The 20,891-nt window shown below is 47.5% G+C and overlaps 1 protein-coding gene across 56 annotated transcripts in view, besides 1 other annotated feature; it reads left to right on the forward strand.

Annotated features, from left to right (window-relative positions):
- Positions 1 to 20,891, forward strand: part of CACNA1C (calcium voltage-gated channel subunit alpha1 C) — a 727,171-nt gene that overhangs the window by 556,163 nt on the left and 150,117 nt on the right. For 18 of the 56 annotated variants that reach the window (XM_017019926.3, XM_017019934.3, XM_017019927.3 and 15 more), the window contains one exon: positions 20,508 to 20,582. The exons of the other annotated variants lie outside the window; for them this stretch is intronic. In XM_017019926.3, the coding sequence (XP_016875415.1) occupies positions 20,508 to 20,582 (75 nt within the window). The remainder of the gene's footprint in view (positions 1 to 20,507; positions 20,583 to 20,891) is intronic. 56 annotated transcript variants of the gene reach the window in all.
- Positions 6,209 to 6,716: an enhancer, noted in NCBI's record as "H3K4me1 hESC enhancer chr12:2642317-2642824 (GRCh37/hg19 assembly coordinates)". NCBI's record gives its function as "activates a minimal SCP1, AML or CMV promoter by ChIP-STARR-seq in primed H9 embryonic stem cells {active_cell/tissue: H9 hESC(primed)}" and the evidence as "EXISTENCE:reporter gene assay evidence [ECO:0000049][PMID:30033119]".

Below are 20,891 nucleotides of genomic sequence, written 5' to 3' on the forward strand. Positions count from 1 at the left end.
AATTTAAAGGTTTATGCTTTCTAAATAGATACATTTGAATTTTGATAAAAGAGAAATTTAAAGGTTTATCCTTTCTGAATATATATATTTGAATTTTGATAAAGTTATTCAGTGTTTTGTTTTATTCTACAAGAAAGTAAGGATATTAAGACATTTTAAAAATGTCTGGGCAGAGGAGCCCTTGCTGTTCCCTAAATCATGTTCTAAAACCTTATTTGCTAAGCCTGAGTCTGGTTTTGACTAACATGGCCCAAGTCTTACTCTAAGAACTTCAATAGTGCCTTGTGTGCAGGATCACAGTGTATAAAGATTAGAGGTCAAGCGAAGACAAACCGCAGGCCAGCACTGTTAAAGAATGATTACAACTGTGCTGGGACTTGTTTGTGTCTTTTGCTTGAAGTAATAGACTAGATCTACTCTCAACAACTTACTGATGAAGTTGAAAAGCCTTAATTATTTGCTTGACAGGCTAGCTTTAAAGGAAAAAGCCTTTGTTTACCTTCTCAATTTCAAGCTTCAAATCAGCCTGTCCAACCATTGTATCTCATGTCCATGACTCATGAGATATGATAATGGTGTCCACTGTCAGTTATTATGTTAACAAAATTATCTGAAAATAACCAAATGCACACCTACTAACACATGCACACACACCAAACACAGGAGCAAGAAGAAATTAAGGACTCCTTTCTTGTCAGGAATATTCAGAATTAGAGTCTCAATGAATTTACTAATATTCGCTAAGGTCAGCTGGGTCCAGCTTTGAGTAAAAAGCTTGGCATGATGCTTGCTATGCCTGGCAGAGGCAGAGAAAAAGATCCCTGCTGTCCCCACAGGGGAGAGCATCTGCTTGACATGAAAAAGTAATGTCAGTGGTGGGTCCCAGCCCCTTGGACCACTTCTGCATTGACTAGGAAGCTAAGGGGTCAGTTGCTAACCATCAGGCCGAGCATCCTAGGTTTTCATCAAGAAGATCCCAAGCTTCAATAAAAACTGCAGAGTTTCTTCTTGTACCTCTTAGATGGTATACAATCATGTCCATGAATTATAATTTCCATAATCCCTTAGTAAACTAATTCTATTAATCTATTAAGTCCTACCCCTTGATTAGATGAGTTGAGAATACAGCAATCTGGGATGAATGACCCTCATGTTCCTCTCCCAACAGGATGCCAGAGTTTTTAGTCTGAACAATTGTCGTGTGCTATACAGGAACTAACAGGAGCCAGAGAAAAGCAGGCAGCCAGACTTCACGGCCCCACTTGATAGCCAGTCTGCAGTTGGCCTCTCCCAGTTTCCTTGCTTGTAAAATGACGGGGGTTAGGTCAGTAAAAGCCCCTTCCAGCTTTGGAATTTGTTTCTGTAGTTCTCAGTTGACACACGTTAGCTTTAGCTCCAGGAGCCTGGGCCAAACCTGATCATTTCAGTCCATCAGACCCCAGAGGAATTCAGTTGATTCTAGCTTCTTAAGTCCTCAGACTCCTGGAATTGCACTTTTCCTCCTGCAGGATTGCCTGCACCCTGAAAGCCAGCCCGTTCTTCCAACGATCCTCTGCACACTTGTGCACACCCTGATCTCTGCACGGAAAGCCCAGCCCCACCATCTGCCTTCCGAACTGCCATGTTACCAGGCCAGGCTTGCCCTACCCATCATGCCATGTGCCAATCACGGAGACACAAGTTTTGCAGCGGAGAAAGCGTTTGTTCACAAGGCAGCCAAGCAAGGAGATGGAAGAGCAGGTCTCAGATCCACTTCCCCAAAGATGGGGTTTTAGGGATATTTATGGGATAGAGGAGCAAGGTCCAAGGCATGGGGAAAGGTGATTGGGGGTAAGGAAAAGTGAGGCCGTCGGTTATCTGCGCAAGTATAGTCAAGCTTCACAGCTCTTCCTGGGATTCAAGTTCACAAAATGGCATCGTTAGCGTGATCTGAGGATGGATGTTTGGGCCCTCTGATGCCAAAAGGTCGCCCATTGGACACTCACGCAGGCCCAGTTGGAGGATTAGTGGTCTGAGCTAGCTTGAACTGGACAAGAGCTGACCCCAAGCTCTTGAAAAATGACTTAAGCAACCATTATCATGGTGACTTATACATCAGAGATGTTATCTGTAAGGAGGCTTGTAGAAGTTTAGTTACATATTCCTTAACTACATGACTTTTAGCTGCATATGTTTTAAAATCAACTAGAAACCAGTGAGGCAAGTTAGGTTTGGTGACCTCATTAGGTTAGCCCTTGGTTTCACCACCCCACCTTCAAAGCCCCATCAACCATCCCTTCCTTTTCTGCCTTTTCTATCCTCACCACCTCTTCTCCCCAGCAGGGTCTTACCCGCTCCTTCATGCTCCCAGAAACCCCATTCCACAGCTGCATCATAGTACTTATTGTATGTGATCTGTAGTGTCTCCCTGTCTGCTGTATTCATTGCATTTTATCTGTGGCATTCATCTATCTGATACCGTCTGCTGGGTAGTACATCTTGAATGTGGGGACTTTTGTATTACCAGAATCCCATACAGATCCTGGTGCATAGGCAATCAATGAATATTGGTTGGAAAAGGGTTTGGAAATTGGGGGATAAAAGTAGGGTCTTGGCTTGGAAGTCCTTGGAATTCTGCCTCTGGGAATGGATCACTTAGGCCTGCTTTGTCACTTTGTCAGATCTAAAACGAGGTTGGGCCAGATCTGATCCAGCAGAGGATATGTAATTAACCAGGCACATAAATTAATTTTTAATCTTCCATTCCTTGCCTGTCAACATTTCTTTTTCACTTCTCAAGGAGGACATGATTATCCCATGATGTTTTTCTTCATGTACTAATTTCTCCTCCTCTTTCTTCTTCAAACCTGTCCACGGAAGTGTCAGAAATACTTCTCATTTTATCCTTTCTCAGGAAGGCCAGCTAGCCAGCTAAGAATAGCAGTCAGGAAATGGTTAAGAGAATACCAAGAATAAATTCTGAGTTGCTTCTTTACAACTAGAAAGCTGAATACATTTAAGGCTTGAAAGGTCAACTCCCTTCAAAGGGGGCAGAGGTTTGATTTCGTCCATTATGTGGTCTTCAGCACAATGCTCATTTCATTCACTGGCTGCAATGGAGATTTATGGAGTAAATGTTATCACAAGCTGAGACTTAATGAGAACTCAGCTGTATCTCCTGGATGTAGTGGAAAGCAACCATTTTGGTAATAAATAGAGAACAGCATCTAATTTGTAAATTCCTTTTTCCGTTGCTAAGTTTAATCAGATCAGTGAAACTGAAGGGAATTGTTGATGACCAAAAATTATTTTCCATGCCTTAATCTGGCCAGGAAACATTACTCCTAATGGAAATGGCCTGTTGCTCTGGCGATGGAAGGGGATGACATTTGTCATTAGACTAACCCAATTGTTGCATATTGATAAATATGTTTAGGCCAAAATCTATTTAAAACCCAATAGAAGCTGAGGCCCCATGTTGCCCTGGTACTGGTGTTACTGGTTCCTAGAAGTAAAAACTCTTTCCAGTTAAACTACAGAGATCTGTAGCAGTGGCCATCCTAAAGATTTCTTCTTGCCCTCAGTGATCATCCAGAGCAAGGCCAGAAGGACCATGATGGAGCCCAAATTGTGGTCATAAGTGACCTTTTCTGAATGGCAGAGAGTGGGTTCAGAGAACAGAACACAATCTCTGGCAGGGCCTTGGCTTACTTTAGGGTTAAAACAAATTCAAGGGGGCACAAAAGGGAGTTGAATGCAGCTCTCTTTTTTCCAGCGGTGCTTCAGTTTTTTTCGTGATGAATCATAAAGATCATTTCCAGGATAGGGACCATGCCATGGGTAAGTGACCGTTAACACGCAGTAGGAACTTTATGAATACTGCATGACGAGAATGACAGCAATGAGGAACACATCTGAGAAGCTGATGGCCCCAGAGGGAACACGGCTAACTGTGACATCTTTAGGGGGTGGCCCTGAGAATGCTGTATCCCTTCCAGTAAGAGTACCGCCTCCAGGCGACCTTTAGACGCACAGCAAGGGGTCCCGAGGACATTCTTCTCTTGGCCTGCACTTGCTTTTATATTCATGTGCTTTTGTATACATGCCCAGTGTCCAGGCATCCTACACACTCAGAGCTCTAATACTGAATATTAGGAACGACAGCTACTGCTCATCAAGCACCTCCTTTTGCCCATATTATCTTTGCCCTCACTTCACATTTTCAGATGAGAAAAGTGAGGTTCAGATCATTGGCCTGAGGCCAGTTCGCTAACAGGAGGTTTACCCAGGCTTACACCCAGGCACGCCCCATCTGACTCGAAAGCCTTCCCTCTTTCTCTTTTGTCAGAGAGGCAAGCACATGGTAACCCCCCAGAATCATGAGCCTGGTGATAGGAGAAGTGGAGTGGAAAGAAGCCCTAGAAAGGGAGTATGGAGACCTGGTTCCTAGTCCCAGCTCTGATACTAACTGGCCCTGTAACCTAAACAACCCTTTCCTCTCTGGGCCTCAATTTCCTCATAGGTAAAAGTAATACCCAAAGGATCTCTAATTGTCTGTTAATCTTTCTGCATTCCAATCCCCTTGAAGCCCCATCCAGCCCTGTCTTTCTCTTGGAGTTTCACATTCCAGAACAAGTCTGTGGCTAAGCTGAGGAGAGGATGCCCTCATTTTGCAAAGAGACGCTTCTCCCATCTTGGCCAGGCAGCAGAGGTCACAAGAGAGGAAGTGTCCACTGCATAAGGACTCTGGACAGCTTCTCTGCCAGCACGCATCCAGCAGCTGACTCTTTCCTCGGGGCCCACGCTCTCCTGCCCTTTTCCCAGAGCCACTACCCTGACAATGTCTGTCTACCTTGAGAGCACTGAACAGTAGAACCTCAGTGCCGGGAGGTGTCCTGAGGTTCTCTCCTTCTCTCCCGTCATCCCCACCTATGTGTGAAACTCCTCTACAACACCTTCACTACGGAGTCTCTCCACCCTGCTTCTTACACACTCTCCGTGTAGGAACTTACCAGTCACAAAAAACCCTTCCATCTTTGTGCAAGCCTCAGCTGCTGGAAGGTCTTCCAGCTGACACCTGCAGCTATTGAGTGACAGTGGAAAGACAGTGTCCTGGGTGCAGTGGCATCCTCCCGATGGTGTGGTGAATTATCCTGGCATGGTTAATTACTCACACTAATTGCTTTTCTGTCACTGCGCTCCCTCCTGCCTCCTATGTTTCCATGAGGGGTTGTGCTTTTGAGATCTTTTCCCACCTCTTCTCCCTTTGTCCTCCCAGTGACTCTGAGGGAAGCGCTGAGCTGCTACACCATGTTCCTTCTCAACCAAGGAGCCAGCACTGAGCAGAGAGGAGCTCTTGCCTCTTGCCTCTGGCCCAGGCAGGCATCAGGGATCTCTCTGTCTCTCTCTGTCTGCCTCTCTCCCTCCCACCCCTCGACACAGTCCTTCCTTCCTCTCTGACATCTGTGCTTGGTCACTCCCATCTGCAAGAAGGCCCGCTCCCCCACAGTATTATTGAGATAGTAACAGGCCACTGTCTCCTCTCTGCTTTCCCCAAATCAGGCACATCCCAACTTCACCATCCAGGTAGTTGTTACTCTTGTAATGTAAGCAGCAAAAGCGATAGAGCAGCTTGAAGCTGCCCAGGGCCCATGTTCTGGCTGGACAGGCCCACCGATGCCTGTGTTCACACAGCCCACACTGCCCGACACTCCCACTCCTCACCCCAAGAGCCTTCCTGTGTTCCATCCACCAGGACCAGGACTCCATCCCCAAATCAGAACCTCTGTGTCCTTTCCTTCCTTCCAGGTTTCCTGGGCCACTGAGCCTGCAGCATGAATCCTCCTAGAATTTAAGACTCAGAAGGAGACAGGTCACGGAGAGGTAGCAGTGTACCCCAGGCAGTCGGGCCCAGGTGAGCCCAAGGTCAGGCCTCACATTTCAAGTCGATTTCAGGATCATTAACATTCCCACTTCCTGTCATGCCCCCAGGCCTTTTGCTTGTTGAAGACAGTGGTCCCTGTTCTCTGGATTTCAAAAACCATTTCTCTCTTCTGAAGGAAGAACAATCAGCGTCCCCAACAAGCCCAGCTCTCCTGAGAAATTACAGAATAGTTCTAAGATTCGGGCAAAGAGGGAGGAGGGATGAAGGGTGAAGAAGGCCTTTGATTCAGACTCAGCCTTGAGAGGAAGGATCTGGAGGGAGAGGCTGTTCAGTGGAATAATGAGAGTGACAGAGGCAGGCGTTCATCCCCGTCTGTTCTTTTTGCACTTTTGGTTTGGGGTCGGTTTCTCCTTCAATGTGCTTGGCTTAGAGCTGCCCCAGCTGCTGTGGGCATGAAAACCACTGCTCACCAGTCTCCACATCTTGGCCCTTACCCAAAATAACCCAGGAGGGAGGAAGGAGCTCATGGGTGGGTGGCTGGATAAATGGCTCCAGAATAATGGATCAAACATTGAATGAGTGAAGGAGTACACACCCCGTCCCTTGGCCCCAAGATGCTCATTCATACCCCTCTCTGAGCGTGAAGGAGAAACAGCAAAAGCTGAATTTGGGGTGTGTGCCCCAGTGCCAGCCAGTCTTTCCAGGGTGCTTCCGATGCCTCCAGTGGAAGTCCCCAGCCATGTTCCCTCCCTGGGGCATTCCCATCTGCCCTCCCAGGGAAGGCTGCTTGGTGCAGCAGAGGTGTGCTCTCTGGGAGCTTCGGTGGAGAGGAAAGGACAGGGGAGTCAGGATACGAGGGCTGGTGGAGTCTGCCAGGTGGGGCTAGGGCAGCCTCGCTCTTCCTTGTCCCAGGAGCACATGTCAAAAGCGCCAGGGCTGGGGAAGCAGCAGGGAGCAGAGGCTGGAGAAGGCCTGCGTCCCTGTCCCGGTTCTGCTCTCGGCAGCCTCAGTTTTCTCATCTCCACCTGTGGCTGGAGACGCCTTCCCCAGTAGTCTCCCCAGGTTGTTGGGAGCATGAAATGAGGTGCTGTCATGTGAGCGCTTGAACAGCCACACTGCTGGACTCTCCTAATGAACGAGCAAAGAACCATATGTGTCAGCACACCAAGCTACATGGCACAAATAGTAAATGCCTCAGGGAAAAGGACCATTCTGGGATGCCACGTAGGTCAAGGAGGCTTCATGGAGATGGTCGGAGTTGGAGGGTAGGTAGGAAGGCTTTTGTGCATGTGGGGGAGTGGTGGGGATGGAATTCCAAGAGTGGGGCAGCAGGGCAAAGACCCAGACACAGGCGCACAGCTCCCAGCAAGCGCCCTGGATGCATTAAGCCCTCCATCAGTGGTGTCAAAGCAAGAGGAACCGTGTGTGGCATATTCTGGAGGCAGAGAGTAGGACTGAGTGCATGGATCAGAGGGCGAATGCTGGAAAGGGAAGGTGTAGTTAGATGGGTAGAGTGAAAGCGGATTGCCAAGGGCCCTGGGAGCCAGGACAAGGGTCCCGTGTGCTGAGTGATAGTGATGTGACATGGTGAAGTCCCTGCTGAGAAAGACTCCTCCAGAAGATGAGAGAATTACGTGTGGGCTTCAAGCCCCTCTCTCTCTGTGCCGAGAGTCCCCTTACAACCAACAACTTAACTGTTTCATCCAATCAACCCACTCCTTTCTTGTAGAGCTTAATTTTTTTTTCCAAGGCAAAGAAATCTTAGAGATCTCCTCTCAACCTTCACCTCCCCCACCCCTGCAGCAAATGCTTATCCAGGCTTTGCCTGGAAACTTCTACTAATGAGCAAGTCCTCATCTCTCCAGATAGCCAGGCCATTTGGGAAATGTTTCATCCATTAGGGCACGATCTTCCCCTGCAGTTCTCCTTCTTTAGTGCAGTGCCCTCTAAAACTACTCTGGGCAGGTGCTGTCTTCCTCCTGTGGAAAAAAACTTCATATGTTGGAAGGTGGTGGCGAGGTCTCTTAGGTTCTCCTTATCTAAATTAAACCTTTCCATTTTTTCTTCTACTGTTCTCTATAAGTGACACAACATGACTTACTGGCCCTTCCCCATCAAAGAACTCTATTATTGCCCCCTTTAGACATGATCCTGAGCACTGAACCTCTATCCTAAGGGGGCCTGCCTGATACATGGGAGAGGGAAGCCCTGCCTCCCTGGGTCTTTGCCTGTAGCAGTGAGCCTAGAAATGCATGAAGCCGCAGGACCTCTCACAAAAGATGTGGGCAATTAAAGCAGCTAGAGCCGGGCACGGTGGCTCACGCCTATCATCCCAGCACTTTGGGAGGCCGAGGCGGGCAGATCACGAGGTCAGGAGATTGAGACCATCCTGGCTAACACAGTGAAACCCCATCCCTACTAAAAATACAAAAAATTAGCCAGGCATGGTGCTGGGCGCCTATAGTCCCAGCTACTTGGGAGGCTGAGGCAGGAGAATGACATGAACCTGGGGAGTGGAGCTTGCAGTGAGCTGAGATCGCACCACTGCACTCCAGCCTGGACAACAGAGTGAGGCCCTGTCTCAAAAAAAGAAAAAGAAAAAGCAGCCAGAGGCCCGGCATGGTGGCTCCCGCCTGCAATCCCAGCACTTTGGGAGGGCGAGGTGGGATGATCGCTTGATCCCAGGACTTCAAGACCAGTCTGGGCAATGTAGTGAAACCCCATCTCTATTAAAAAAAAAAAACAAAATAATTAGCTGGGTGTGGTTGTGTGGGCCTGTAATCCTAGCTACTTGGGAGGCTGAGGCAGGAGGGTCACTTGAACCCGGGAGTTTTAGGCTGCTGCAAGCTGTGATCACACCAGTGCACTCCAGCCTGGGTGACAGAGCAAGACCCTGTCTAAAAAAAAAAAAAAAAAAAAAAAAAAAAACCTAAAACTAAAACAACACATAAAGTAGCCAGATGGACCAAAGACTCTGTCTGCCCCAGGGCAAGAAAGAGGAAAACAAACTGCAAGCATCCAGCAGGCAGAGTTGGGAGAAGAATTAAAGCAAAGGACACGCTACATAGCAGGGCAAGCTGATCGATATTCTGACAGCTGCCCATAAACTCATTCATGAAATTATGGGGCTGAAGAGACACCATGGGGTTGGAGTTAAAATGACTCACTTCACATAAATGTCATCAATGGCGGCAGCCTAGAAATTTAAGGCAGCAATTTACTTGCCTGCTGGAAGGGAAGACACAAATGAGACCTGTCTGAGGAAGTCTTGCTCCATACTCAAGGCGGCTTTCCCTCTGTGGCTGTTCACGGCCTTCAAGGTAGTGCTGGGCCCCTGTAGATCCTCCTTGCAGGAAATCTGACCTGCTCTTCAGCAGCAGAAAGCAGTGAAGCAGGAAAGACGGGGCCCCAGAGAAGAGAGAAAATGAGAACAAATCGTGAGCTCTGCATAGCTTTGTGAACGGCAAAGAACAGGGTGCAAACGTCAAAACTCATCCATAGTAAAACTCTGACTTCCGTACAGGAGAGGGAGCCTGGGGCCTGTGTCCATCCTTGATACTTTTCTGACCAAGGGTGGGCTCCTGGCCTCTCCGTGATGTGCATCAATGGTGAGTGAGAAAGGGAGGCAGCACTGATGGTGGAAAGAGGTTCAAAACTCTACCACTATCTGCCTCTGCGACTCTGGACAAGCTGATGACCCTCTCTGGACCTTAACATTCTCACCTATACAATGAAGGGCTAGGTGGGGCACAGTAGCTCATGCCTGTAATCCCAACATTTTGGAAGGCTGAGGTGGGAAGATTGCTTGAGGCCAGGAGTTCGAGACCAACCTGGGCAACATAGTGAGACCTTGTCTCTACAAAAAATTTAAAAATTAGCCATGCATGGTGGTGCATGCCTGTGGTCCCAGCTACTCTCAAGGTTGTGGTGGGAGGATCACTTGAGACTGGGAGCTGGAGGCTGCGGTGAGCCAAGATCATGTCACTACACTCCAGCCTGGGCAACAGAGTGAAACTCTGTTTCAGAAAAAATAAAAATAAAAAATCAAATGAAGGGCTGGCCTACAATCCTACAGACCCCTTCTGACTGTGATGATGTCATGATTAAGATCTCCATTTCACACTGGGGAAACCGAGCCACAGAAGAGTGAGGTCACATAGCTCCAAGTGGCAGAGCCAGGATCCAAACTCAGGCCCCTGGCCCCCAAGCCCATGCTCCTAACCACGCTGCCTGCTGACTGCTTCCTTCTGCCCAGAGGAGCCGGCAGGGAGGCCCTGGGCAGGGTCATAAAATAAGTGGCTTCTCCCCAGGACCACCACCTGCACCCACTGCCCTCCTCCTCCACTTAGTGATGCCAGCACATCCTCAGGGCTCTCTTACCCTTGCTCTCCCATGACAGATAGGAAAAGGCTTTATAAATTCATCAATAGACATTCTAGCTAAGAGGATGGACTTGGCATCAGATCTACCCGGGTTCAAATCCTGAATCTTATTGGCGCTTGCTTGGAGTAAACGACTGAATTTTCTAAGCCTCAATTTTCTCATCCAAAAAATGGGGACATCTAATGCCTCCCTCATAGGGTTACCTCAGTTAATGTATGTAAAATTCATGGAAGAGTAGCTGGCATATAGTGAGTGATTGAGAGACTGAGCTTTGTTGTTAATATGAAGATAGAAATGGCTGATGTTGCTATTGCACACTCTGGGAGACAAGGCCTTAAAATCAAGGAATGGCCATTAGGTGTCATGGAACCGGGTTGGAGGAGGATTGGGGGTGCAAATCATACTCTATCCCTTTCCAATCATACCACGTGGGTGACCATCTGGCATGTGGCACTTAGCACTTAAAAGGACACCACTAATGTCCTTTTAGTAGTGAGAACTGGGTTTCCAAAGGAGTGCTCTAGAGAAAGACCACCACACTCCATGTCTAGAAGATCCCTGTCCCATCCCTAATGGTTGCAGGCAAGCTGTGTTTTCCCCTTGGAGTGTCTCGCCCTCCTGTGTGGTCAGATAGCCTGTTTTCCCCATAGTCCCCGAGGGTCTGAGCATGTCCCAGGCTGCCCTGCCATCTCTAGTGAAGGTGGGGTGGGGGTGGGAGAGGGAGTGTGCCAAAGTTCAAGAGTTTGTTGGGTGCAGCTAAACTTACTGCCCCTGCCCCCTCCCGGCCCCATCCACCTCCCCGCCAACCCGGCAGCAATAACCAAGGCAGCCTGATAGACTCCGTGGTGCCCTAATGGTGGAGAGAGATTTTCTGCTTGGGAGCACAGGATGTTTATGGCCTGCTGAGATCACAGTAACCCTGGCTTTCTTCTTTGGATTATGGCTGCAGATCAAGGGCAGGCATTTATGCCTCCTCCCAGTTTATAGCAGTGATCATAATTATGGTGATGGCAGAGCGCACTTCTATTGTGCCTTTTTAATAAGGCCACTTTGTTTGGCTTCTTAATATTTAATCCTGTTTTATATTTACTTTCTGATGGCTTAAAATCAACCAGGCTTTAATTGCTTATGCAGAGGAAGCCAAGCTGGGCCTGGGCTGGCAGGAAGTTGTTGAGAAGGTTCTGGAAGCTGATGGCACCTTTCTCTGTGACCTTTCCACCCAGGCAGGCTGCTGTGGCCTGGGAACTGTGTTTCTTTTTCTCTTCTCTTTTTCTCTCATCCACTCTTTCCTCTTATTCTACAACCTTCTTTTCTCTTTTGCCATTCCTTTCCTTTCTTTTCCTTAGAAGAGATCCTCAGTTCACCCTCCGGTTCAATTTATCCATGTAAGAGACCAGAGTTGTACTGTGACCTGCCAAAGCTTTGGAGCTACTTAGGGCAAGGCCAAGGCGAGGACTGTCTTTGTTGTTTTTCCTGGACTCACAGTATTAGAGACTCCTAAGACTCCAAACTGGGCAAACACATATGAAGAGTTCCTTCATCTATCCACTTGACAATACATATGGCCACGTGCTTGATCTATCCAACGGTAGAAAAGTCATAAGGAATAACTTTCCAAGTTATTGTTTTCTGAAAGAGAAAATTAAATCAGATGAAACATGCCGTGCCACAGTTCCTCAATTCCTGGGAAGTAACACAGCCCAGTTGCTCAGGTCTATTCTGCGGTGGGGCTGGAGCAACCCTGCTACAGGCCCCTGCACCACCAGCTCTCAGCAGCAGTCCAGCCTGCAAATGTGCATTTCAGCGACGTCGCCTGATGGGGCTGAAAAAGGCCTGGACTCAAGACCTGTCATTCTCTGCCATTTACTAGCTCTCCCCTTGGGCACCTAACTTCAGCCTTTGGGGACTACACTTTCTTTTGTCAGTGGGGATAATAATATCTACCTTGCCTGTGCCGTAGGGGTATGTCGGTCAGTGTCCCCATGGAAACAGTAGGTACTCTTAAACTAGGTGACTTGAGGAGGGCTTCATAAAGATGCAGGCAGGGTTTAAGGACTTAAGGAGGGCTTCATAAAGATGCAGGCAGGGTTTAAGGACTTAAGGAGGGCTTCATAAAGATGCAGGCAGGGTTTAAGGACTTAAGGAGGGCTTCATAAAGATGCAGGCAGGGTTTAAGGACTTAAGGAGGGCTTCATAAAGATGCAGGCAGGGTTTAAGGACTTAAGGAGGGCTTCATAAAGATGCAGGCAGGGTTTAAGGACTTAAGGAGGGCTTCATAAAGATGCAGGCAGGGTTTAAGGACTTAAGGAGGGCTTCATAAAGATGCAGGCAGGGTTTAAGGACTTAAGGAGGGTTTCATAAAGATGCAGGCAGGGTTTAAGGACTTAAGGAGGGCTTCATAAAGATGCAGGCAGGGTTTAAGGACTTAAGGAGGGCTTCATAAAGATGCAGGCAGGGTTTAAGGACTTAAGGAGGGTTTCATAAAGATGCAGGCAGGGTTTAAGGACTTAAGGAGGGTTTCATAAAGATGCAGGCAGGGTTTAAGGACTTAAGGAGGGCTTCATAAAGATGCAGGCAGGGTTTAAGGACTTAAGGAGGGTTTCATAAAGATGCAGGCAGGGTTTAAGGACTTAAGGAGGGCTTCATAAAGATGCAGGCAGGGTTTAAGGACTTAAGGAGGGTTTCATAAAGATGCAGGCAGGGTTTAAGGAAGCCAGCAAGTACAGTACCCCAGGGTAGCAGCTGTGTGGATCTGTTACCGGTAAAGGCTGGAGGAACAAAGTGAGGGGCAGCCTCAGAGTCAGAGAGCAGCTATGTGGAGAGGGCCATGGGGCAGACATGTGGCCTTGGGCAGCAAGAAGCAGCCAGTCTACACCAACCCTGTGTGCTGCAGTTGGGGAGCGAACGCCCCACCTCTCTCTCCTCGGGTCCACCCACGGACGTCCTGCTAGTGCTGCCCATGGGCCGGCCCAAGCAGGAAGCAAGGTCAGCTTCCTGGAGCACCAGGCCTGGGGAGAGGGAAGGAGAGTGGGTCTGAGGACAGACTCTCAACTGTCCGGCACCTAGGAGTCCCCTTAAAACCCCATGATGATATGAAGTGTTATTCTAGGGAGAGGGTGAAACCAAAACACAGATCCAGGTTTTTACTTAAAATTCTCACCGACTCCGGAGTCACAGGAGCTCAGAAGAGGAGACTCGGTGGGCAGGAGGGTGGTCCTGGGAGCTGCCACAGATGCGAACTGGGCCTCTGAGAAGGGATGAAATTTGGATAGATCAGGGGTCAGCTAACTTTTTCTAGAAAGGGCCAGAGAGTCAATATCAAAGGCTTTGCAGGCCACACAGAGCCTCTACCGAAACTCCTCCCCTCCACTGCTGTGGTGTGAGAGCGGTGATAGACAGCACACACAGGGCACGGCAGTCCCAGGAGGACTGTGCTGACAAAGACAGGGCAGGCTGCAGTTCGCTGACCCCTGGAATACGTGCAGGAGGTGGACAGGCACTCCAGGGACAGGGCATGACGTAGGGCCCCATGCACGGGAAAGACCAGAGGTTGGTACGGAGCCAGCACGTTGAAGGATGGTGAGGAGGGCAGCCCGGTGTGGTTGGAGTTTCTGCAGGAAGTCTCAGGACATGAGAGAGAACCGACAGTGTCTTAGTCGGCCAGGGCTGCCCAACAGCGTATCACAGACCCAGGAGCTGGAACAGCAGGAGCTGATTTTATCAGTCTAGAGGCTGGAAGTCTGAGATCAAGGTGCTGGCGGGCTTGGTTCCTCCTGAGGGTCATGAGGGAAAAGGGGTCAGTCCCCAGGCCTCTCTTTGGCTTGCAGGTGGCTGTCTTGTCTCTGAGTCTTCACATCGTCTTCCCTCTGTACCTGTCAGTGGCCACAGTTGTTCTGCTTATAAGGATCCGGTCACACTGGATTCAGCCCACCCTCATGACCTCATCTTAATCTAATGACCTCTTTCAAGACTCTGTCTCCAAACATGGCTACGCTCAGAGGTATGCGGGGGCTGGGACCTCAGCATCTGAATTTCCGAGGGGATATAACTCAACTCACAGCAGATAAGATGAAGCCAAATTACAGGGTGTTTTAGATACCAGATTGGAGTCAATGAGGTAGGAAATGAGGAATCCTTTTGCTTGTTAACCGTAAGTCTGATTAGTACTTTGAGAAAATAAATACAAATTATGCCGCTCATATGCAAAAAATGTAATAAGATGGGCACCTGGCCAAGTACATGGCAAAGTCAATTCCTTAGTTCCATCCTGGAGTGCCGGGAAGCCTGGACACTGGATCCCAGCAGACTGGTGACCTGGACTCAGCCATTGGCCTTGTATGACATCCCACCACACTGGAGAAGTTTGGGTGGGGCAAGCAGTGCTCCCGATACCCCCAGCCACTGCCTGGGATGTCTGGGCCTGAGGCATCAACCCTCTTCCTCCCGGAGGAGGCATAAGATTGACAGCAGCTGGTGAGCTCTCTGGCCTTGGATAACGAGCTACCAGCTAAGTTCCGGAATACACACTGGGCATTTTTCTTAGCAAATCTCATGAGAGGCCAGCCACTCCTGCTGACAGGCACATCAGGACATTACAAAGCTCCATCCCTGGGACAAAGTCGAAGCTATTTTGGGTGACCAAAGGTTTCGGAACTAGGCAGATTGTTTCATCTCGCCCCACATCCATCCCTCATTCTCTCATGTGGAGCTTTGCTCTGGTGCCACTCAGTCAGTCATGACGCATAAAAAGCTCCGAGACGGGGGCCTCAGGAACAGGCCGGATATTCTCTATGAGGATGGTTCTCCCCATCCTCCTGCCAGTCTCAGGATGGGAAGGAAGGGAGTCAGGATGTGGCAGGGAGGAAGGAAACGAGAGTACAGCAGCGGGCACCAAAGAGGATTTTGCTCATTGTTTCCTTCGTGGATTTATTGCTGTCACCTTAGTGCCATTTTTCTTTTTTATCAAAACTAAAGTGGTTCTGACTCTCAATCCTTTGCCAAAACCCCTTCTGGAGTCATTTTTTATTCATGAGGATGACTTTGGTCATCTTTGGACACATCATGCTGGCCTCATGGTGGCTAAATGAGACCCAATTTCTTTTTAAGGAGAACATGAGTGTTCACACGCTGACACAGCCTGCGGCAGATTCACTACTTGGAGACTTGCTTTCAGCAATACAGGGAACTGTCAAGAGAGCCATTCGTTTTACAGAGAGCTCACTTCCTATGGGGAAAGTGAGGCTTGTGTGCTCTGACATTGCCCATTTTTTGTTGACCACAGCTGTAAGAAGCCTGGCCCGCTGATCAGTGCAGCCATACTTTCAAAGCACCACCTGGTGTTTAATGGAGGATTCCCAAATTTCAGCGAGTAAACCCTCAGAGGGTTTGCTAACCCAAACACCAAGGAAGGGCAATCTACACAATGGCTTAGCTCTAGCACTCCTCCCCTAGCACAGCTGGTGTGCTTCCAGTTTCAAGAGATTATTCCAGGGAGAAAATGACTTTTTATAATCTCCCCAGTAGTCACACACCAAAGCAGGTCGGGGGAGACACTGGTGCTGTAAGACAATAACTGGGCACCTCTCTTGAGACATAGAAATAGTCCTACTAAGTGCTGTTCAAGCAAGAGTGGCCACCAAGAGTACATGTTTGTGGGGTTGAGGGGAGAAGACATTAATTAAAGGATGTAATCAGTTGTTGGCAATTCGACCATACAACTTGCTGTAGCCATTGATGATATTACTAAAAATGCAATGATGTTAGCCATCTTGAGCTACCAGCCAAGTTCCAGAATACAGACTGGTCATTTTCTTAGCAAATCTCTTGAGAGGCCAGCCACTCCTGCTGGCAGATGTTTCTTGCACTTTCAAAGAAACCTCATTTTCTTGTGGAGTCTTCTCACCAGAAGCAAGGGACTGGATAGCCCAGAGAAACACATTTGGTCCATAGCACCTGGTAAGAGGGAGGTTAGAAAATCGGAAAACAAGCTTCCTGTATAGCTTTCTTCCCCAGCATTCTCCTTCCCAGATCCATTCAATAAAGCATATTGTGCCTTATAAAGGATGTGCTATTATGACATTGCCTGCAGATGAGCAGACAATCAAACTTCACTTCTAAGGAAGTGAAGCAAGTTGGCTTTAGAGAAAAGGTGCCCCTTAGTTTCCAACCAACTCATCATTTGAATGGCCAAGGGAGGGGTCAGGCTTTCCATCTCATCCACTGAATAAGTATCCAGCATTCATGATTCTAAACTTTCAACAATTTGGACATTCAGCTTCCTAGAAGTTTTCCTTGAGGAATCAGCTTTGATACCACTATGTAATCCCTTGGTAATAGGAACACAAACACCATTTCACCATTTGATTCCTGCAGGTGCTTATGGGATAAACTATCGCAAATTAATAGGCACTAATGTGTTCATATATTGCTTCTTCCAGGTGAGACATTTTTATTTCAGAAAGGAACCTTTAGATATATGCAGTGCCCCAAAAGAAAGATCTGAGACTTATGTGAACCATCCAGGGAGATGATTTAGTTGCTCTTCAGATCATTTTCCATGCAGGTGACTGCCAACTTGGCCCCCATGAAAGACCAGCCCTGGTCAAATTCAGGTTCATAAAATGATCATACAGTTACTTCTGAAATTGGACAACATAGGACACTTAGGATGTCAGAGCCAAAAGCTGAATAATGCTTCTGCATGGAAGGCGTCAATGTTCTGGACTCTCCACCACTAAGCAGGGCTCTCATCCCCTCAGACAGCCACCACACAGATAGAAACTTGGTGACTGGCAGCCTACGTCCACCCCCTATATCTCCAGAAAGAAAGACCATTCATTATGAGAGTCCCATGTTAGTGACTGTTTGAGACACCTTTCCCTAGAAGGGAAACTTGAACCAAGTGGCTCATTTCAGCTCCTAACTCTCAGTGCTTTTTGCATGTAGGATTTCTGAGAAGTGAAAAAAAAAAAAAAACCTGCCGGTTATGAAGTTTCTGTTCCACACTTTGTACCTTAAAGATGAGTGTGTGAGACACAGATCTTCAGGTTAAAAATAGGCATGGCCCTTTTCTATCACTAGCCAGTCTCCAAAATTCTCCTTACCAGGCAACATCCAAGGAAGTCCATTGACTATAATCTGTGTTCTAGGATAAGAGGATGAAATATAGAAAAACCTAAGATTTGGGTTGCCCCTCCCCTCATGCCTTTCCTGGAAGTGATGGTGCAGCCCACAAGTTCAGCAGGGCACATGTTTCCTTCTGTGAGTGGTGACCAACTTCCCACCTGCATTTGCTGCCACTCATTAATATTAGGTTGGTGCAAAAGAAATTGTGGTTTCAGACTGTGAATTTTAAATCATTATAACTAGGCTCAAACACATCTTTATTAATCAAAAGAGGAACCATTACAATCAACACATTTTTGCCAACAAGAAATAAGATTTTTATTCCTATTATGTAAAACTCCGTGCTTCCAGATTCAGCAAACTCTCGGAAAGCATTTTCTGCATCCTGCTGGTTGTGAAAGCATTTTCCCTGCAAAAAGTCGAGATGCTTGAAGAAGTGGTAGTTGGTTGGCGAGAGGTCGGGTGAATATGGGCAGATGAGGCAAAACTTTGTAGCCCAATTCGTTCAACTTTTGAAGCATTGGTTGTGCGACATGCAGTCCTGCATTGTTGTGGAAAAGAATTGAGCCCTTTCTGTTGGCCAATGCCAGCTGCAGGCATTGCAGTTTTTGGTGCATCTCATTGATTTGCTGAGCATACTTCTTAGATGTAATGGTTTCGCTGGGATTCAGAAAGCTGTAGTGAATCATACTAACAGACCACTAAACAGTGATCATGACCTTTTTTGGTGTAAGTTTGGCTTTGGGAAGTGCTTTGGAGCTTCTTCTCCATCCAACCCCTGAGCTGGTCGTTGCTGGTTGTTACACAAAATCCACTTTTCCTCACACATCACAATTTGATTGAGAAATAGTTCATTGTTGTTGAGTACAATAAGAGAAGGTGACACTTCAAAACAATGATTTTTTTTTTTTTTTTTGCTCAGCTCATGAGGCACCCACTTATCAAGCTTTTTCACCTTTCCAATAAGCTTCAAATGCCTAACAACCATAGAATGGTTGACATTGAGTTATTCGGCAAATTCTCTTGTAGTTGTAAGAGGATCGGCTTTGATGGTGGCTCTCAATTGGTCATCGTCAACTTCCCATGGCCTGCCATTATGCTCCTCATCTTCTTCATTATGCTCCTCATCTTCTTTGCAAAACCTTTTGAACCACCACTGTGCCGTACGTTCGTTAGCAATTCCTGGGCCAAATGAGCTGTTGATGTTGCAAGTTGTCTCCACTGCTTTATGACCCAAATCGCTCGAATTTGCTCTTTAACATCCTTTCCATAGTCTAAAATAAACATAAAATAAATAGCAAGTAATACATCATTAACAAAAAAATAAAGTGAGAAATGCCCATTAAAATGATGTATAACATAACCAAATTTATTTAAGAATGTATTTCAATACCAAATGGCAAATTCCAACAATGCAAAAAACACAATTCCTTTTGCACCAACCTAACTTGTGATTGTGCCTTACTTGCCTCTCATTCCCAGCACCCTGCATAGTGACCTCGCAGAGGCACAGCTCATGCCAGTTCTTTCAGATGAAATGGGAAAACTCTATCTGAACAGTTAGCTAAAGCACTTGACATCCAGAACTCCAAGTCCATACATAACTTCCCGTTCCCCATGCAATGATTAGTGTCTTCATGCTCTCCAGTGCAGTGGCTGGTGTCTTCACATGCTTCCATGTAGTAGCTGGAATCTTCACATTCTCCCGTGCAGTGGCTGGTGTCTTCACACTCTTCCGTGCAGTAGCTGGTATCTTCACACTCTTCTGTGCAGTGGCTGGTGTCTTCCTGCTCTCCCATGCAGTGGCTTGTGTCTTCACACTCTTCCGTGCAGTGGCTGGTGTCTTCACACTCTTCCATGCAGTGGCTGGTGTCTTCACACACTCCTGTGCAGTTGCTGGTGTCTTCACACTATTCTGTGCAGTTGCTGGTGTCTTCATACTATTCTGTGCAGTAGCTGGTGTCTTCACACTATTCTGTGTAGTAGCTGGTGTCTTCACACTATTCCCTGCAGTAGCTGGTGTCTTCACACTATTCCGTGCAGTAGCTGGTGTCTTCACACTCTCCTGTGCAGTTGCTGGTGTCTTCACACTATTCCCTGCAGTAGCTGATGTCTTCACACTATTCTGTGCAGTTGCTGGTGTCTTCACACTATTCCCTGCAGTAGCTGATGTCTTCACACTTTTCTGTGCAGTGGCTGGTGTCTTCACACTCTTCCGTGCAGTAGCTGGGGTCTTCACATTCTTCCATGCAGTGGCAGGTGTCTTCGTGCTCTCCCGTGCAGTGGCTGGTGTCTTCACGCCCTCCCATGCAGTGGGTAGTGTCTTCACACTCTTCTGGAGCACTCTCCTCTTCAGCTGTAGCCGAGACCCAGCAGAGCTCACAGAATTCTTCTTCCTTATTTACAAACTTCCTCAAATGACCACCCATTGACAGGCAATTTAACAACTTATTGGCCCATTTAAACTGATTAAAAGCAGACACATATATGTTTTGGATGTGAGCCCTAGGCCTTTGATGGGTCTTTGCTGAATAGAATTGAATTATTGAACTGAACAAGGAGCAAGTAGGTCGACCAGTGGGTTGTTTTTCTACCTGCAGGTGACTCCATCCAGGTGCAAATAGCAAGGAAGCCCTTGAATCCACTACAGGTGAAAGTTTTGCATTGTGGTCCCATGTGAGGGAGGAGACAAGTCACCTGGCTATTGGGTAGGGATGAAGGGGATACCAGGGCTACAGTTAGACTTTAGCAGTGACCCCGCTTGAGCCTGCAAAGGGCGACAGCTCCCTATGGAAACAACAGGGATGAGTGGCAGCCCCCTCCTTGGAAGCCTTCTCAAAGTCACTCATTAGATATGCCAGATAGCCTCTCTCTCCTGGAGTAATTCCTTCTCTCCAGGGTCCATCATTTGTTTTGTGATGTTAATTCATGTGAGTTGGGAGTTTGGTTCTATTGTGTTATGTTTTCCTGTATGTTTTGATTTATTGAATTTTTTTTGTTTATTTTCTGTGATAAAAATGGATGTTCTATGTGAAAGCTGAGTTCCTTGTTTCTTTCTCTTGCCCGTGGCTGACTGCGTGTGCTCTATTGATGTCTTGTTCCTGGTTCTTGACACTGACCATCTTGTCTGTGAAAGGAGGCACTCCGGCGGGCATGCTTGATCAGAAGAAAGGGAAGTTTGCTTGGTTTAGTCACTCCACAGAAACCCATGGTAATGTTCCCCTGTGCTCTGTGTGTGTAAATGCGTGTGGGTGCATACCAGACTGAATGGGAAGGTGTCTCTCTTGATGGCTTGTGCCGCAGTAGTTCTGTGTGTGTGCATATATGTGTATGTATATATGTTGTGTGTGTGTGTGTGTTTGTGAAGGGATGGCAACCTGTCCCCCTCAAAGCCACTGCCTTATCATTGCTTCATATGTGTAAAGTCAGTGGGTGTGACAAACAGGCAGAGCTATTCCTCCAGGAGCTCTTCCTCTGGGCAGTGCTGGCCTAGAGTAAGCACACTGTGAATGCACGGTTG

Source organism: Homo sapiens, chromosome 12 (genome assembly GCF_000001405.40).
Source record: "Homo sapiens chromosome 12, GRCh38.p14 Primary Assembly".
In the NCBI taxonomy this organism is placed as follows: Eukaryota; Metazoa; Chordata; class Mammalia; order Primates; family Hominidae; genus Homo; species Homo sapiens.